This window comes from Homo sapiens, chromosome 1, assembly GCF_000001405.40.
Source record: "Homo sapiens chromosome 1, GRCh38.p14 Primary Assembly".
Taxonomy (NCBI): Eukaryota; Metazoa; Chordata; class Mammalia; order Primates; family Hominidae; genus Homo; species Homo sapiens.
In genome coordinates, this window is record NC_000001.11 from 33,850,786 (window position 1) to 33,868,492 (window position 17,707).

General features: G+C 46.2%; 2 protein-coding genes across 15 annotated transcripts in view; one reads left to right on the forward strand and one right to left on the reverse strand.

Annotated features, from left to right (window-relative positions):
* The window catches only part of CSMD2 (CUB and Sushi multiple domains 2), a 651,845-nt gene that overhangs the window by 336,788 nt on the left and 297,350 nt on the right, over positions 1-17,707 (reverse strand). The gene's annotated exons all lie outside the window — the stretch shown is intronic.
* On the forward strand, positions 9,690-14,006 carry HMGB4 (high mobility group box 4). 3 transcript variants are annotated; one of them, NM_145205.6, is made up of 2 exons: positions 9,690-10,105; positions 12,080-14,006. In NM_145205.6, the coding sequence occupies exon 2, from the start codon at positions 13,407-13,409 to the stop codon at positions 13,965-13,967; it is 561 nt and encodes a 186-aa protein (NP_660206.2). In that variant the 5' UTR covers positions 9,690-10,105; positions 12,080-13,406; the 3' UTR covers positions 13,968-14,006. The 3 variants fall into 3 exon arrangements, with proteins under 3 accessions (NP_660206.2, NP_001339913.1, NP_001366230.1); NM_001352984.2 differs by lacking the exon at positions 9,690-10,105 and having other exon boundaries at positions 13,294-13,392; positions 13,478-14,006; NM_001379301.1 differs by lacking the exon at positions 9,690-10,105 and having other exon boundaries at positions 13,294-14,006.

Here is a 17,707-nt window from a genome sequence, read left to right on the forward strand (position 1 = left end):
AGTGGGGCTTCATTAATGGAATCTGGCTTGGGAAGAATTAAAAAAAAATCACTCCCTGTAATGCATGTAGTTGATTATAGAAAAGTGGCTTTGAGCTCCTCTGCAGAAAGCTCTGAGCCATTCCCTTCATGAAGAAGAGCTCAGAGCAGATTTTGTGGGAAGCATTTCTTCTTAAGAAGCTTCTCATGCAGTCGGGATGTTGGGGAGCTGAGAGATACCCCCATCAAGATGACAACAGTGACTGTGCAAGGAATTGCTGCCTAATTGTAAGTCGAGGGGGAGGAGTGTTAGGAGATCTTAGTTTAAATCTTAGCATCCCTGAAAACTGACATCTTCAGGAGAACATTCATTCACGCAATCACCAAGCACATATTTTGTAAAAGGCACTGTGCTCGCAAGTGAGGGCCACTCCCACTGTGGTTCCCTAGATATAGGGAGTCCCTGAAAAGCCTGTAATGTACACGATTCAGCTGCAATGCCTTCTTTTCTGTTCAGCCTCCATTCCTTCTCCATCAATAGCATCTGGCTTCTGTCCTCCCAGAGCATCTCCTGTGGGCATTATCTGTTAAGTAAGCTATGTGCATGGCCCTGGTCTGATTCAGAGTTGAAGCACTTCTGCATCCCAGTACTAAGTATAAACCATCCCTCCCCATCCCCAAGGCTGGCCTAGGAGAATGTGAAATATAGGAGGTCCTCACCACCTTATCCCCACTCCCAAGCCCTCTTCCCTTCCCACCTGTCACCTGCTTTCCTCCCTGATGAATGGAGAGGACACCAGGATACAATCAGAGAAACCCTTTTGAAAATGTCTTTGTCAGTGGTGGGCAAATAGTCCCAAGGCCCTTGTTTGAGGCTGATCCCTCCTCTGCCAAACCTAAGCCACCTCTCATTCCTGAAGCAAACCTTTAATGACTCAGCCTTGACACCCATTCTTATCAAAATGCTTTCCAAAATCAGTTTTCCTTTAGCTAAACTCCTAGGACTTGCTATGTCAAGATAAATTCTTTCCCCAAGACAATCCCATGATGTTATATATTTTCCAGGAACTGAGTGAATGCCTGGGACAAATGGAAGTTTCTTTTGAATATGAGTTGCTGGGCCTTATCTTTGAAAAGAGGCCCCTCAGCCTCCCAAGGCTTTTTTTTTTACCAGCAGTGCCTGCCCACCCTGGTTGTGTGGACAGCTCTGAAAGATCTGAGCCAGCCTTTAAAGATTCAATTCCCGGCTACCTAGTATGTGTTTGGGGTTGGTTACTATGCTCTGAACAAACCAAAGCTTTCCCCCAGTCGTTTCTGCTCCTTAGTGCAACTGCTCCCCCTAATCTACACCATCCTCCTGGTCACCCAACCCAGGCAGCATCCTCAACTCCCCACTCTCCTTCACCCCTATCGCCAATTGTGGCCAAGTCTTCTCCATTTCATGTCCTCATCGTTTCTCACCTGGACTACAGAGATGGGCTTCTGATTTGCCCTCTGCCTCTGATCGATCTTCCATACTTTGTGGGGAATTTTGATCAAATCCCTGCATTGCTGGAAAGCCAGCAGCAATGGTTGAACCCACTGGCTCCAGAATAAAGTCCAAGCTTTTTAATGTCTTTCCTCTTCAATGACACACACTTTGAGATCCAGCTACACAGAATGGCTTGTACATCCTGGAATGCGACTAGTACTTTCGTGTCTCCAGACCTTTGCACATGCTATTCCCTCTACCTGTAATGCCCTTTTCCTGTTGCCCCACCTGGCTACTTGGGAAAATATCACTGATCCTATAAACCTAACTAAATATTTCCTTTCCTCTATCTCTCCCTCTCCCTGCCCCCAGTGGACATGGCCCTGCCATGATCCTGGGCATACCAAATTGTACTCATCTTTTGAGTTGACCATCTCTTCAACTAGCAGGCAAGCTCCATGGGAGCTGGAATAAAATCTTCTTTTTGTCTCAGTATCTCTGGTGCACAGCACAGTGCCTGGCACACAGAACAAATACATTTCATAGAACAGGGGTTGGCAAACTATAGCTTGCTGCCTGTCTTTGTAAATATGGTTTTACCAGATTGCAACCATGCCCATTCATTCATTTACAAATTGTCTGTGGCTGCTTCCACATTGCAATGACAGAGTTAAGGAGTTGTGCAAGATGATGACTTGCAAAGCCCAAAATATTTATTTTCTGGCTTCTTACAGAAAAAAAAGTTTGCTAATTCCTACCATAGAAGCCTCACAGATGATGTAGTTGGTTGGTAAATAAAAATTTAATTTCTAAGTAGGGAATCATAAAAAAGGACACAGATGTAGCTTCAACATTTCATTATAATGTAAAACACTTAAGCATACATTTATTTGCCAATCAGTTTAATGCAGGACCAAGGCCTTCCCTTTGATCATGGGTTTGTTCTCCACATTGTCTGTCTTATATAAACTACAACCACAATGCATCATTCACCATTTCAAATGTTGCTACAGATCGTCCAGCCAACAAATATTTCTTGAGCACCTACTATGTGCCAGAAATTGACATCCATTCTCATCAAGGTGATAAGGATGCTTTGTCCCATCCCCCTCCCCTCATGTAATTTACCCAGTGGGGTACAGTTGTCTCATTCACTCACACCTAATATTTAGTAAGCAATTCTTTTAAGAGACTCTCCTTCATGGAATCATTCCAAAGCATTCAATTTAGTTTCCATAGATGCAACTATATTTCCTTTCACACTCATATTTCATCAGTTTATGTGATGTTTAATTTAAATCACATAATTACAATAACAAGTATGACTGGCACTGAGAGACTTGGCAACAAACCCAACTGAATCTCGGAAAGTGCAAGACTCAGCTGATAGGAGCAGAAGTGCACAGGCATTGAGGGTGGGGGTGGGAGACTGCCTGTTGGCAGCAGTTGCTGGGGGTGCCATGGGCACCAGTCAGGAAGATCTACTGAGGCCATGGGAGTGCTGGGTAGTCCAGCTGGCTTCTTTGGGGGAGGCAGGGTGGGTTAAGAACACTTTTATTGGACATGTTTGTGAATGAATGAATAAATGAACAAACAGCAGTAGCTTACTTTCAGTGGTGGGATATCGAATTACATCCCCTCTGCTATCAGGAGAGTGGGAACCAGCTAACCTTAAAATCTGAGATTTGAGAAGGACTTCAAAGGTCTTCTAGGTCTAATGCCCAGCTATATTTGAGTCTCAACCACAGCATTCTTGAAAAACGGTCAATTATGATCTATTTTGAATGTTCCCAACAATTAAGAATTTACCTTCTTGCCAAATTCTCTCTCCCAATCTTGATCCATCCCCATTCTTTTCTTAGCTACTTCCTACTCATCGTGCAGGTGTATCAGCCCCTGGCTCAGGAAACCTGTCCTTTGTTGCTAGGTCTGGTTTACTTCTCCTTTGTCCCCTCTGGGCACCCTGCACTTTCTCCACCATAGTGCTTCTCTCACCATGCATTGCTGAACTATGAGCTCCCTGAAGACAGGAGCTGTTTCTTTCTTTGGTACCTTGGAGAGTGCTTGACATAAAGAAAGGGCTCAGTAAATATCACTCAGTGGAAGAAGGGATGATTGGCCGAATGAATGAATGAATGAGAGCCTGCTGGTGAAAGCAGAGGTTACATGTGGGGAAAAGCAGAGAAAGAGGCAGTGAGCAGGTGAGCCAGGGAATAGGAGGGAGGGCCTCCAGTGCCACGCGGGCTTCACCCGGGTTTCCCATGGCACTGCCCACTCCTGTCAAGACATGCTTCCCCAGTCCTAGTTCCTCAGCTCTGGCTGTGCCCCACTACCTGCTTCACTTAGCAGCTGCTGGTACCTTCCTGGGGATTCTTCTCATGCTGACCTATCCCCAAAGCAGCAACAGTGAGGTCTGCTAATCAATGTGGGCAAATGTTCCCCTTTCCCCAGAAGCAACTCAATAAACTCAACAAATTATCAGAACTCTTTCTTGCTCAGCTAATTGTTAGCTCCAGGGAACCCACAGAAACCACATCAGGTAAATGTTTTTCCTCCAGATGCACGGCTCTCTGGAGGACACATGTCTGAGGCTTGGAGTGCTGAGGAACAGGGAGCCTGGCTGTTGCCGGGATGAGGGCTTCCTCACCAACACGCTGGGTCTTGTGTATGGGGTGGTGGCATATTGCGAAGGTCTAGGGGTGGCTTGGTGTGTCAGTTTCCTTCCATTGCTAGCTCAGCTGCTCAGCTGGCAGAGCTGATGGGTAAGGTGTTTCCTGCCTCTATAGAGAGGATCTTCCCATCGTGCTGAAGTGACAGAACAGGGTTGGGTCTGAAGATCAGAACTGGTGCTGATGCCAAGCTCTGGGTGAAGAGGCTTGTGGGTGGATCCCCAGCTGCTTTTCTGAGTTGCCCACTCCGTCCTTTACTGTCTCCAGGTCTAAATCAGGCAGTTCTACTCTCTTATGAAGACCAGAAGCCTTTGAAGATCAGTCTCCTTCCCTCAACCCACAGCTCCTGACAGGGGTAGCCATGTACATCATATGACCCATAGGCTACAGCTGATTGGATCCTGGTGGTCATGTGTCCCAAGCTGGGCCAATGAGCTGATGGAACTTCTATCAGGAAGGTAGGTCCCTATGGCCCCCATTTGAGGTTTGGATGGAGAGAAGGGCTGAGTACTCACTTTAATGAGGAGAAGACCCCACAGGCTTGGCTTTCCCAGGGGAGATTTGGGAAATGGTGTCCTAGCATCATTTCTTCCACTTCTGTTGCTGCCTCCCCAACTTGCCCTTATTACTTTTATATGATGTCCTGAACCTTGTACATTTATCCTCCAGGAGTCAGTCTGACTGGACAGAATCTAAGAGCAGTCTCCACTCTGACCAGCTGCTGAGGCTTTAGCTGGCTGTCCCCTGTCCCCAGCCCAAGTCTCTATTATATGTCAGATCTGAGATCCGGGAAGGCAGTCCTGAGGACTGGCAGCCTCCATGCTCTAGGATGTTAAAGCCTATCCCCATCAGGCTTGGCCCAGAAACAGGGTGCAGGCCTCAAGAGCGTGGTGACTACAGCATATTCACACTCAACTCTACTCAACCCTCTTCTTCTTCCTGACTGGAGTCTCTGCCTAAGTAAAGATGACACCTATCTGGCTCATCACCTGTCTTGTTCCTCACAGAAGCAATAGGTTTAAAAAGGTTAAGGGTTAAGGGCCAGGCCTTCGGAACCAGACAGTGCTATATTTGAATCTGCGTTCTACTGTTTCCTAGTTGTGTGAACATGGGCATGCAACGTAACTTCTCTGAGCCTCAGTTTCCTCATCTGTGCAATGGGATTCCTCTGAGCAGCAGTGCTCATGTGTATAATGTGTCCAAGTCTGTGCCTGGCATACAGTAGGTGCCTCACAAATGTGAACTATTTTCCCCCTGCCTTGCTGGGGTTTGAGAAGAGGTGGTGGGATCTTACCAATGCCTTGAACCCAACCCTTCAGAGTAGACCGCAGAGCAGCCTGGCTTAGTTTTCTCCAGGGAAATGAGGCACCTGCATCTACTCTGGTGATAGAGCAGTGCAGGGGTAGAAGGACAGGGCACTCTGTGGTACCCAGACCAGCCAGTACACCTGGCCATCAACTTCCCTCTTTCTCTGGGGAACCCCAGCCTGGCCTCCACTGGCTCCTGCTTTCCCAGCCTTGCCCACTTTCCACCTGTCACTGGCAGACATGACTTGGAGAAGGAACCTGCTTCCTGCCATAGAGGGTGGCACCGCTTGCCTTGCAGAAGCCTCCGCTGCTTGTAATTAGTACTATTTCTCACCCAGAGGGACTGTTGTAAATGGCTTCTTGAGGAGCTGCCCACATCAGTGTGTGCCTGCCACTTAACTGCCACTCTGAGTTTGAGCATCATGTATGTCCCTTCCCCTGTTAGGAGGCAGCTAGTGGTCCCTGCCAGAGATCAGCAGCTCTGATGTCCAGAAGAATGAGTGAGCTGCCCAACAGCTGGAGGATGGGTGGGCTAAACATCTCACACACACTAAGGCTAGTGAGCAAGTGGTCCTAGAGTCCCATGGAGCTGAGTTCTAATCCTGCCTTCATTGTCTGCTGGCCATGTGACCTTGGAGAGGTGGCTTCACTTCTCTGAGCCCTTCTTTCCCCAGTTTATATCTCATAGTGCGATTGTGAGTGACGCTCACAAAGTTCCCTCTAAGGCCTCAAGACACGACATCTACAATTCTTGGCCCTGCCATATCTCTGTACAGCAAGGTAGACTCGTAGGCAAAGGGAATAATATTTACTGAGTAGAAACTAATTTGGGGTAGAGACTTAGCACGCAGGCCCTAGAAGAAGACTGCCTGGGTTCAAGTATCATCAGCTCTAAACTTACTGTCTCACTTTGGGCAAGTAACTGACCTGCTTTAGGCCTCAGTTTCCCCATCTATATAGTAAGGATAATAACAGCACCCACTTCATTGAGTGGTTAAAAGGTTTAAGTGAGGTGATGCATATAAAAGGTGCCTGGCACATAGCATGTGCCCAAAAAGCATCAAAAATGGGGGAGAGGAGAATTCCTCTCTTCTTGTATTGCTTGCTGCCGTCCACCTGGATTAATGCCTTATACTTTGGCTTTCAGATGGGAGAAATCCAGATCACATCCACCTACAGAAGAAATGATTGGCTGCTATGGATTGTAGCTAAACCATAGGAAGAGTAGAGTTGTAGCTGGCCCCAGGGATGGCCAGAACCAAGAACTCAGATGCTACAAAGGCCCTCTCTCGGTGCCCCATCTCTGTTGTGCTCTGCCTGCTGGCATCATTCTCTCTACTGCAAATGGCGGCTGCTTGAGGCTGGAGCCATGACCACCCTTAGTAGCTCTGTGATTCACTCTCTCACCTTCACCACTAGAGAGATGACAATCTCTCTCCGTGACTCTAATTAGAAAAAGCCCATCAGAGGCCTCTGATTAGTTTAGCTGGGGAATGTACCCATTCCTGGGGCCAAGGAGGTAGCCTCCACTAGAACCCCATGACTAGTTTGGGGACAATTCTCCAAAAGAAGGAATGTGCTCAAAAGAAGTGAGGAGTGCTAGGCAGACAAAACAAAAGATGTCTACTGTGGATGAAAGAGAAGTAGGTGGACTGAATAATCAGGGCCACTCTCCTATGCTATAAAGGAGTAGGTTTTTAAAGACCTGTGAGGAGTATCCATAGATCACTGTGTGAGTTATCAACCCAGAGTTGGTCTTGTTCTAGATCTGTCCTGTATCCTTTCATAGGTAGCCAGGCATCCCCCAACCAGGCTGATCCCATTCTGTGTCTAATCATCTGACCACTGCCTGCCCACCTGCCCACTAGTCCATTGGGCTGGGTGCTGACACTTCGCCTGGCTTTGGCAAGCCTCTGCCCTTGGGAGTAGATGCAGGCTCCGTGCTTATCTTCAGATGCTGGTGAAGTTCTATGGGTCATCCAAGTCAGTTGACCTCCTGGACTTAGAACATCCCATGACCTAGAGATAAGTTGACTAGATCTATCCAGAATGAGGATCAACCCAGATTAGAAAAGACTCACCTGAATCTTTTAAACGTTGAAATTTAGATAACTTTTTCTCCTTCCTTCTTCCCTCCTCCTGCAATACTTGGCCTTGTTCCTTCCCAGTTGCTTCCTTACCCTAGCCCCAGCCAAGGGAGTTCCTAGACTACCAGTAGAGGCTAAACATATGAGCCAAGGGGTCAAACAAGCTTGAGTTCGAAGCCTGGCTCTGCCACTTATTGCTGTGTGGCCTTGGATAAATTAATCTCTCTTTTCACGCTTCCAGGCTTCCAGAGATGATGTACCCAAAGTATGATCATCATTTTTATTAAAATATTGTGCTCACATCTGATTGATTAACAGTTCCTGGCACGAGGTCAGTGCCAAAGAGCCTTGGACTGACTGCTTATGGCCTGGCCTCCCTATCTGGTTTCTTACTATGTAGCGATCCAAGTGAATTCAGATGATTCCCTGGACTACCACCCTCCTTCCTGGGACACATCCATCCCTCAAACACTGTTCATCACTGGCCATCAAAGCAGCAGCCACACTGCTCCAGCAACTCAACAGCTATTTATTGAGATGGGTGTGTGAGTACATGAGTGAGTGAATGAACTGAAAGAACGTAAGAGTGAATTAACTGCTAAGTGAATTAGTGAATTAGTGACTTAATGAGTCAGCGAGTGAAGAAGAGTGTGCAGGATTGAATATATCATGTTCTTTTCCCTCAACAAATTGAATATGCCGTGGTATAAAACTTTCACCCTCAAATGTGTCTTCTTCATTAACACAAGCAGGGGTTAAGAATGGCAGAAGAAAAGTTACAGACCAGCAGCCAGAGGAGAAAGATACTGTGCTAGTTTCCTATTGCTGCCTTAACAAATAACTGTACATTTAAGGGCTTAAAGAACACAAATTTATTGTGTTATAATTCTGGAGGTTAGAATCCAAAATGGGTTTCAGCAGGCCAAGATCAAGGTGTGGGGAGGACTGAGCCCCTCTGGTGGCACTAGGGGACAATCCTTTTGCTTGCCTTTTCCAGCTGCTAGTAGCCACCTGCATTTCTTGGCTTGTGGCCTCTTTCCCTTGTCTTCAATATCAGCAGTGTAGCATCTTCAAATCTCTCTCCACCTCTGATCCTCTGCTTCTCTCATCACATCTCCTCTGACTGTGACACTCCTGCCTTCCTCTTACAAAGGCCATGTGATTCTATCAGGCCCACCTGATAATCCAGGATCATCTCCCTAGCTCTAAATCCTTAGAGTAATCTTATCTACAAAGTCCCTTTTACCAAGTAAGGAACAAATTCACAGGTTTCAGGGCTTAGGACGCCAGCATCTTTGGAGAGGCATTCTTCTGCCACTTGCAGATGCCTTGTTCAGAGGGTAAATGCAACCAGTGAGTCCCACTCCACAGAGGAAGGGGCAGGAGGGGGATGAAGGAAGTTTCAAAGCATTTGACATACACATGCTTATGCCAGGTATGTTTGCTGTTGTTGCTGTGGCCTGAGCACTGAGGGTTTTGGAAAGCTTAGGTGATTCCATCATGCTGCAAAATCTGAGAGATACTTTGACAGAGATATGCTAAGAGCATATGCTGCTGTAATTGAGGGTAAAATCTGGCCCTGTGATTCCTGGAGATGATGGATCAAGAGCAGGGTGTCTTTACCCTGGCTGCACATTGCTATCAACTGGAAAGATTTTTCTTTAAAAAAATGTTATTTTGAAATAAGAGTGCAAAGATCATACAGAAATGTCCTGTATACCCTTCACCCCGATTCCCTAATGTTGGCATCTTACATAACCCTGGGTCATGCATAAAAACTAAGAAATCAGCAATGGTACAGTACTATTAACTAAATGAAACATTTTATTCAGATTTCCCCAGATTTCCACCAGTGGCCCACTTTTTGTCTGTCACAGGATTCAGTCTAGCATCTCTCATTGCATTTGTCCTGTCTTCTTGGTTTCTTCCAATCTGCATCAGTTTCTTAGCCTTGCCCTGGTTTTTTAAAATCTTGACATTATTGAAGGGTACTGATCAGGTATTTGGTAGAATGTTCTTTATTTCAGTTTGTCTAATGTTTTTTCATAGACCTTGGCTATGGATTTTTGGGAAGAATATCATGGCGGTGAGATGCTGTTATTATGGCAACACAGAAAGGGGTTCTGTGATCTCAACATGACCTGTTATTGATGATGCTTACTTCGATCACTTGGTTAAAGTGGTGTCTGCCAGATTTCCCCGCTGTAAAGTTACTATTTGTCCCTTTCCATGTTCTATTCATTAGTAGTGGGTGGCTAAGTCCAGCCCACACTGGAGAGGGGGAGTGCCATCTGTTTTTATTCCTATCATTTCAATTTGTTTAATCCTCATGGCTTTATTATCACCTCACTACTTTTTAGAGATATGGTTGTAATGAGCTAGACTTGCCCAAAGTTACTCAGCTAGTAAATGGCAAAGCTAGAATTTGAACTTATATGTGTCTGGCTTAAAAGGCCATGTTCTTTCCACTTCATGTTACTGCCACCAAGTAAAGAGGATCTCACAGTCTCCGAGGCGGAAGCTCCCTCTCAGCTTGTCTGGACAGTGTTTTTCAAATCCATTCTTGGAGTGTGACCCATCAGTGGGTCATGAGGTCAGTCTGTGGGTGGCATTTTAAATAACAACATAAAGTAAAGGTGACTACAACAGAGTAGAAAATAAGAGTATGTCACACAAGTAGAAATTTTTTATCTCTATATCTTCTCTGTGCTTTGCTACCTTCATCTGAATTCACTTATCCTTGTATGGAGATAAAAATAGCCCTCCCATAGGCTTGTTATGAGGACTGAATGGAATGAGGTACATAAAGTGCTTAGAAGAGAGACTGGCTCATATTAAGCATTATATAAATATTAAGTATGTATGTATGTAAACGAGTCATGATGTAAAATGTATTTCTTATTGCAGACTGCAATCAAGATGTTTGAAAATACTGAACTCACATCTGTAGACGAGGAGTTGGCAGATTTACGACCCCCAGCTTGCAGCCTATTTTTTAAAAATAAGGTTTTATTGGAACATAGCCACACTCATTGGTTTAGGTATTTTCTATGGTTACTTTCGAGGTATAGTGGCAGAGCTGGGTACCTGCAACAGAAACCCTGTGGTTCACCAAGCCTATCATATTTACTACCTGGCCCTCTAGACCAATGCTCCTGCCTGGAGGTCATCTCATAATCTAGGGAATATTGGACACCTCTTCCCGGGCATGTGGTCTGGTCATGCTACTGTCCTTGCAGGCATGCTTGCTCTAGGCTGTGTGACTGCCAGGCACTTGGATCTCCAGAAGCTCATTACTCTTCTCTATTAAACTGATGCCTACATGGTGAAAGGCTAAAACCATGGTACTTTGGTCAGGGTCCCCGCAGGAAACAGATGGCCACTCAAATTAAAATGATTGGTGAGGGCAGAGTGTGGGAAAGTAGCAGAGACCTCAGAGGCTCATAAAAGTAGAGTTTTACCACCCTAGGCAGGAGGAGATAAAGAAAGGGGGCAATGCCTGTACTGGAAGGAGAGAGTCATTTAGAGAGGACACCTTATGAGGACCAGTGACCTTCAGTCCAGGGACACAGAACCAGCTCCAAGTGACCCTGGGGTGGGGATCCAGGAGAATAAATGCCTTGACTTAACTTTCCTCCATCTCTGATCTCCTGAGGGCCCCATTGACCAAAGTGAGATGGAAACCAGAGGGTATGGGATCCTCTGATGTGGCTCATACAGACCAGCTTCCCAGGCCAGAGAAGGTTGAAGAGAGGTTGGAGAAGGCTGGAAAGGGGATCTGGAAGGGCAACTCTTAGATACCCAGCACACAGCATTGATTTAGGAAGCCAGATTTATTTACCTTTCCTAAGCTCCCCTAAACAAGGACTTCCCCTGCTTCATCCTCCAAGTTGGAACTTTGACAACACCAAAAGGTTGACATAGCTTTTCCCTTTTACTGCCTTTTCTTCTTAAATCTGCTAGCTTCCCGATAGCTATTGTGGGTTAATCTTCCTGGATCTTATCATGAGAGGGATGGAAGGTTAAGAGGCACAGATAAGCTACTCTGTGTGTGTGTGTGTGTGTGTGTGTGTGTGTGTGTGTGTGTGTGTGTGTGTGTCTGAGCCTGAGCAGAGTCTGATGAATATGTGGACTTTCATTAAAGTTCTTCCTCATGTCCCATCTTTTGATCTCAGAAAGGAGCTGTGTCCCATTCATCTAGGCAGCCCTGCTCATGTCCAAAAAATGTGTGAGTCAACCTCTGGCCCCTTGGGAGAAAGAGCCAGGGGGAAAAAGGCTACCTAGGCTGAGAAGTGTCCCCAGAGTAATCCGTTCCTTTGCGAGACCCCCTACTAGCCCAGACTTCCTTGATGGCACCTGATATCTTATAGGCCCCCAAATCCTGCCACACAACTACAGCTTGTCCCCTGGAGGGGCTTCCCTGGCCAGTCCAGAATGCTCAATTTATGAGAGATCATTGGCTCACAGGGAGGAAGGGGATGGCTTAGGTAGGCCAGCCACCTTGCAGCAGAGCTGGGCAAGAATTCAGGATTGGAGACTCTTATTAGTTTCCATCTTTCTTTTACAGAAGATGAACACTGAAGTCTTGGAACCCTGGGAATGAACCTGGAAAAATTCAAAATATGGTCTAGTCTTAGGCAAGTTTCCTTGTCCGGCTCAGCTGCTGAGACCACATATCTGGACCCTCAGTGCCCTGGCAACAGCTCTGTGCAGGCAGGATGAAGCACAGGCTTAGGTCAAGCAATCAGCCGTCAAAATCCACACTCTCACCTGTGAGTGGCTGTTCAACCTTGAACATGTTACTTTTTATGTTAATGAAACTCAGTTTTCTAGTCCTATAAATTTGGGGCTATCATCAACCATTAAGTGATATTAAACCCAGTGCCACACAGGCAAGTACCTAGCAGTGTCCAAAGGCCCCCAGAATGACACTTTTTCATCTTTTCTCTTCCCTCCAATTGAAAGACTAGTGGAATATCTGCAATTACTTTGACCAAAAGCCAGAAGCCGGCCAGTTTGAGTGTAGCTGTTACAGCTTTGTGTTCTAAACCTAAGAAATGGGGACCCCTCACATGAGAGTGGGGAGGCTTCTGGATGTGCTACAAATTCCATTTCATTTTCATGAACTCCAGTGTTAATTAATAAAATCTCAAGGTTCTCCCCCCTCTTTCGCCTCACATTTCTTCAGAGAAATGAAGAGTTCCAACTCATAGCCCAAGTGCTCAGGTTTTAAATTAGACAACTTTGTCCTGACAGGAACCAAGTCACAGCTGTCATACCTGATTACTTTTAGAGTTACTACTAAACCCTTTGTATGGCATGAGCTGCCACTGTTCAAGGCAAACAGAAACACTTCACATTTTATCATGACAGCCCTGGATCTATCCACCTCCCCATGTTCATTATGCTCAGCCTGTCTTTGGAAGGGATGATGAGGCATCCTGAAAATCGTATAGTGAGGAAGGCAGACCCCATGGCCTGTCACTACAGCCTAGGGATTTTAAGCCCCTAAAGTGCAGCAAAACCCACTGCCTCCAGGAAGCCAAGGAGAATTATTTCTGGGGGACATAGCTGCCTCATAGCCTACTATGAATGAACCATCATCTTTCATGAGAGGCAAACATTGACCCTCAAGTAACCAACCAATACGAGCACCTGTACACAAATGCCCACAGGTGTTGGCTGGGATTGGCTGGCTTGTGGATGATGTCACAGTTTCCCTCCTCTGACTCAACAATGCCATCAGCACTGAAAAGGCTGAGCCCTGACTACAGCTCTTGCAGACAGAAAAATTCGCTGCAAGTACAGCACTTTCTAGATTGCTCCTGGAGTGTGGGAACAACAGTCTCTCCTGTCCACGTTACTGAATCCAGAAAAAAGGTGAACTTACGAACATGGGAAAAGAAATCCAGCTAAAGCCTAAGGCAAATGTCTCTTCTTACGTTCACTTTTTGCTGAATTACAGAAACAAATTCAAGGAGCAGCAGCCAAATACCTATGTTGGCTTTAAAGAGTTCTCTAGAAAGTGTTCGGAAAAATGGAGATCCATCTCAAAGCATGAAAAGGCCAAATATGAAGCCCTGGCCAAACTCGACAAAGCCCGATACCAGGAAGAAATGATGAATTATGTTGGCAAGAGGAAGAAACGGAGAAAGCGGGATCCCCAGGAACCCAGACGGCCTCCATCATCCTTCCTACTCTTCTGCCAAGACCACTATGCTCAGCTGAAGAGGGAGAACCCGAACTGGTCGGTGGTGCAGGTGGCCAAGGCCACAGGGAAGATGTGGTCAACAGCGACAGACCTGGAGAAGCACCCTTATGAGCAAAGAGTGGCTCTCCTGAGAGCTAAGTACTTCGAGGAACTTGAACTCTACCGTAAACAATGTAATGCCAGGAAGAAGTACCGAATGTCAGCTAGAAACCGGTGCAGAGGGAAAAGAGTCAGGCAGAGCTGATGGATCCAGTTTGAAAAAACAAAATGCCATTCAACCGTATTTCCTGTTCCTGGTCTCATGTGTGGCATTAGAGTAGCTGTGACTGATGCTTTGTGGAGGAGGGAGTGGCTTGGTAGAGGAGAGACTGATCCTGAGGAGGGGAACGGAGAGGACGGGAAGGGAAAGAAGGGGAAGGGAGGAGAGGAGGGAGGGGAAGGGAAGAGAGGGGAAGGGAAGGGAAAGGAGGGGAATGGAGGGGAGGGAAAGGGAGGGAAGGGCTGGCTTTGAGAGAAGTGTCAGCAGTAAACAAAAGGTGTGACTTGGGCCACTGGGTGGGAGCCTCCAGGTGTAAAGTAGCAGCAGTCATGGAGGTAGAAGCACCGTGGTTCTGAGTGGTGATCCAGGTGAGAGGACCCTACTCAGTGTCAGGTTCAGGAACATGACGTCTGACTCTGCTAAGCAGTGGCAGGACTGGGAAGACTGCCAGGGCTAGAAGGCCTAGAGTTCAAGCTCACACTTGAGGCCCCAGGAGAAACATATGGCATCTGAGTTGAGACAGGCCTGAGGGAACCCAGGATTTCCAGCAACACTTAGATACGCTCAGTGGGGCCAGGGTGAACTCCCAGGGGTGTTCCCTAATCAGGAGGAGGCAAGGGGCAGATTTTACCAAAAAAAAAAAAAAAAAGCAGGGGGCTGGGGAACCAGATCAATCGTTTTTCAGTGGATAGATGTATAATATGTGGCCTCCACTCCTCTTCCTCTTGTTCATAGCACTCTGACTCCCTTTCGTGACCAAGGCTGGATAAGAGGGCAGGATCGCCTTGGCCACAGTCATTGGCTCAGTGGTGGGCATGTGACCCAAGTTGGTCCTATCAGGGTGGACCTCTGGACCTGTGTAAGGAGTCCTGGGGGACACCGCAGTCCAGGGAATGTGGACAGCCATTTGCCATCTCATAGGGCCCAAGAAGGAGGCCGAGATGCTAGAATCCCTGTGGCATCAGAACAGTCTCCTAAACTTTTCATTGAAGATGAACAACACATTTCATTTTTTCCCTGACATGGTTTGACTTAGGTTTTTTCCTACTTGACTATAATTTGACACAAATGGGATTGTGCTGTAAGTGTCTGTCTGGTAACTAGATTTTTCAGGCAAGAATATACTGTAGGCAACATTCCATACCAATCAATAAAGATTGAAATGGAATATTTTGAAATGGTTCTTCTGACTTCTTGACATCAAAAATACTGGGCCAAAATGCAAAGCTGCTTTTTTGTCACCAGTTTATACATGCAACAGATCTCCCTAACTCCACCTCTAAGGACCCCTATTCCATGATAGAGGGACCTACACTTTCTACTCTACTGCGCTGAACAGTAAAAATACATATTTTTGAACAGTCTTTTAGAACTGCATGAGCCTTTAGGGGATGAGAGGTAATACAGTGATTTAGAAATTCAGGGTCTGGAATCAAACAGGTCATTTGTGGAGGATTTTCATGTGCCAGGCCATTTGCTGGGTACAGGGAGGCACATTACGCACTACTGCTAAGTTCCCGCCCTATAAAAAATTTCCTTCTGACAGGAGAGATGGACTTGGGCATAAATTGCAGCACTGCAAAGCAAGATGATGAAAGTGAATGCAGAAAGTAATGGGGGAGGGACTGGGGACCACCCAGCAAGCCTGTGCTGCAGTCTTCATGAAGGAAGCAGCCTTATTCCACTTGACAACTTTGTAGGCATGCTGGCAAAATTCCCGTTCCGCATTCCCCACAGCTGCTATTCCAACTTGGCTCTGCTTCTCTTCCCTCTCAGGAGACGCCCGCATTTTCTGCTTCATTGAGAAAATAGAGATCCTCAGATATAAGTGCTCTCAGTTTCCTTCATTCTTGAAATGTAATCCATACCAATCCTTTCCTCCTGGTCTCACCCCTCACGGAGAGCTATCCCCCTCCTGCTCTTCCTGCCCTCTCCCTGCCTCCCTGGGGCCCTTGCTCCTTACTATAAGGGTGCTGGCCCTCCAGCCTGTACACTCATACAAGTTCACTTGATGCCATGATATGGTGGTCCCCACCTTAATGTTGGCAGAACTTAGGGCAAGTTCTCATTCCTCTGAGCCTCATGTTCTTATCTGTGCAAGGAGGATAATGCCTGCCTTACAGGTTGTTTTAGCAATTAACTGAGGTAATACATGTAAAAGTATTTGGCACAGTCCTAAATCTAATAGGTAATATAGCGGATATACTCTAGGGTGGCTGTTCCATAATCCTTTCCTCCTTTCTTGGTGTTCACACCCTTGTATAATCCCCTCCTATTAAGTGTGGGCTGGACAGGTGACTTTCTTCTAACCCATAGAATGTGGCAAAGGAGATGGGATGTCACTTCTGTGATTATGTGATGATAAATAATACTATATATTGCTAGCCACTTTGCTCTAGGGATTCTCCTTGCTGCTTGATGAAGTAAGTGGTCAAGTTTGAGAAGCCCATGTGGCAAGGAATGACAAGGAACTGTGGGAAATGTCTAGAAGCTGAGGGTGGCCTCAGACCATTAGCCAGTGAGAAACAGAAGTTCTCAGTCCACCAACCACAAGGAACTTAATATTGCAGCAGCCACACAAGTGGGTAGGTGAATCCTTCCCCAGTCAAGCCAGCAGATGAGAACTTGGCCCTGGCTGACCAAGGCCTGAAGCAATGCACACAGCTAAGCTGTTACTGGACTCCTGACCCCACAGAAACTGTATAAATGTAAGTTTAAAACTATAAATGTTTAAACCATATGAGTGTATTTTGTTTTAAGCCACTAAGTCTGTGGTAATTTGTTACACAGCAATAGAGAATACATTACTCAATAAATGCCCTCTTCCTTATAATTCTAGAAGAGACTGTCTTTAATCTTGTTTCTATCTCCAGCCTCTACCTTCCCCATTTAATTTCCTTTCCTTTGTTACCAATCTCTTGTTACCAACATCTTGAAGGTGGAGGGCCACCTCCCACCGTCCAGTGCTAATTAGATCCTGATTTGTATTACCCAGTAGTAGTTCCAGTTGGGTTGTCTTGTTTCCAGCCTGAAATGTGGGCTCTTGGTGGGCAGCAGCTGTGTGATGTACCACACTCCTCTCTGGGAAGAGGGCCCCCACACAGCTAGGCCCCAGCTCTCATGCCACCCCTTTCTGGTTTCCTGTGTGATTAATTATGTGAATGTGGGTGGCCAAGTCAGAGTTTTGACAAGAGTTTGCAGTTCCCCTGCTGAAAACTAACTCCATTAACAGTCCTTTATGAAAAAGACAATAGGAGGGTCTGAATCTGCTGGCTTCTAATGACTGTAATGTAATGACAATGGAGAGAGAGGGAGGGAAGGAGGAGGAGAAGTTGGGGGAGCCTGGACCTAAGATAATGGGTGAGAGAAAAAGTAGATGGACAATCTGGTGTGGTGCCAGCATTCCAGGCCCACTCAGCTGGCCTCAGGTGCTCCTGTCCTTGAGAAGAGGAAGGCAGGCCCATCACCATCTTGATGACTGAATCACTCAACTCTGATCCTTCTCTCCTCAACCGTTTTTCTGTGTTCATGTAGTCATTAATTTACTTACTCATTCATTCAACAGATATTTACATAAATCTTATGCCTGCAATATAACAGCAACTATTCTGGTGCTGGGAATACAACAAGGTTCCTCATCTCTCACGTTCCGGTGAGGAGAGACAGACAATTAAAAAAACAACAAATAGGCCAGGCGCGGTGGCTCATACCTGTAATCCCAGCAC

Bases quoted from the DNA above. Each gene is read 5' to 3' on its own strand.
- HMGB4 (NM_145205.6), top strand. From the start codon at position 13,407: ATGGGAAAAGAAATCCAGCTAAAGCCTAAGGCAAATGTCTCTTCTTAC.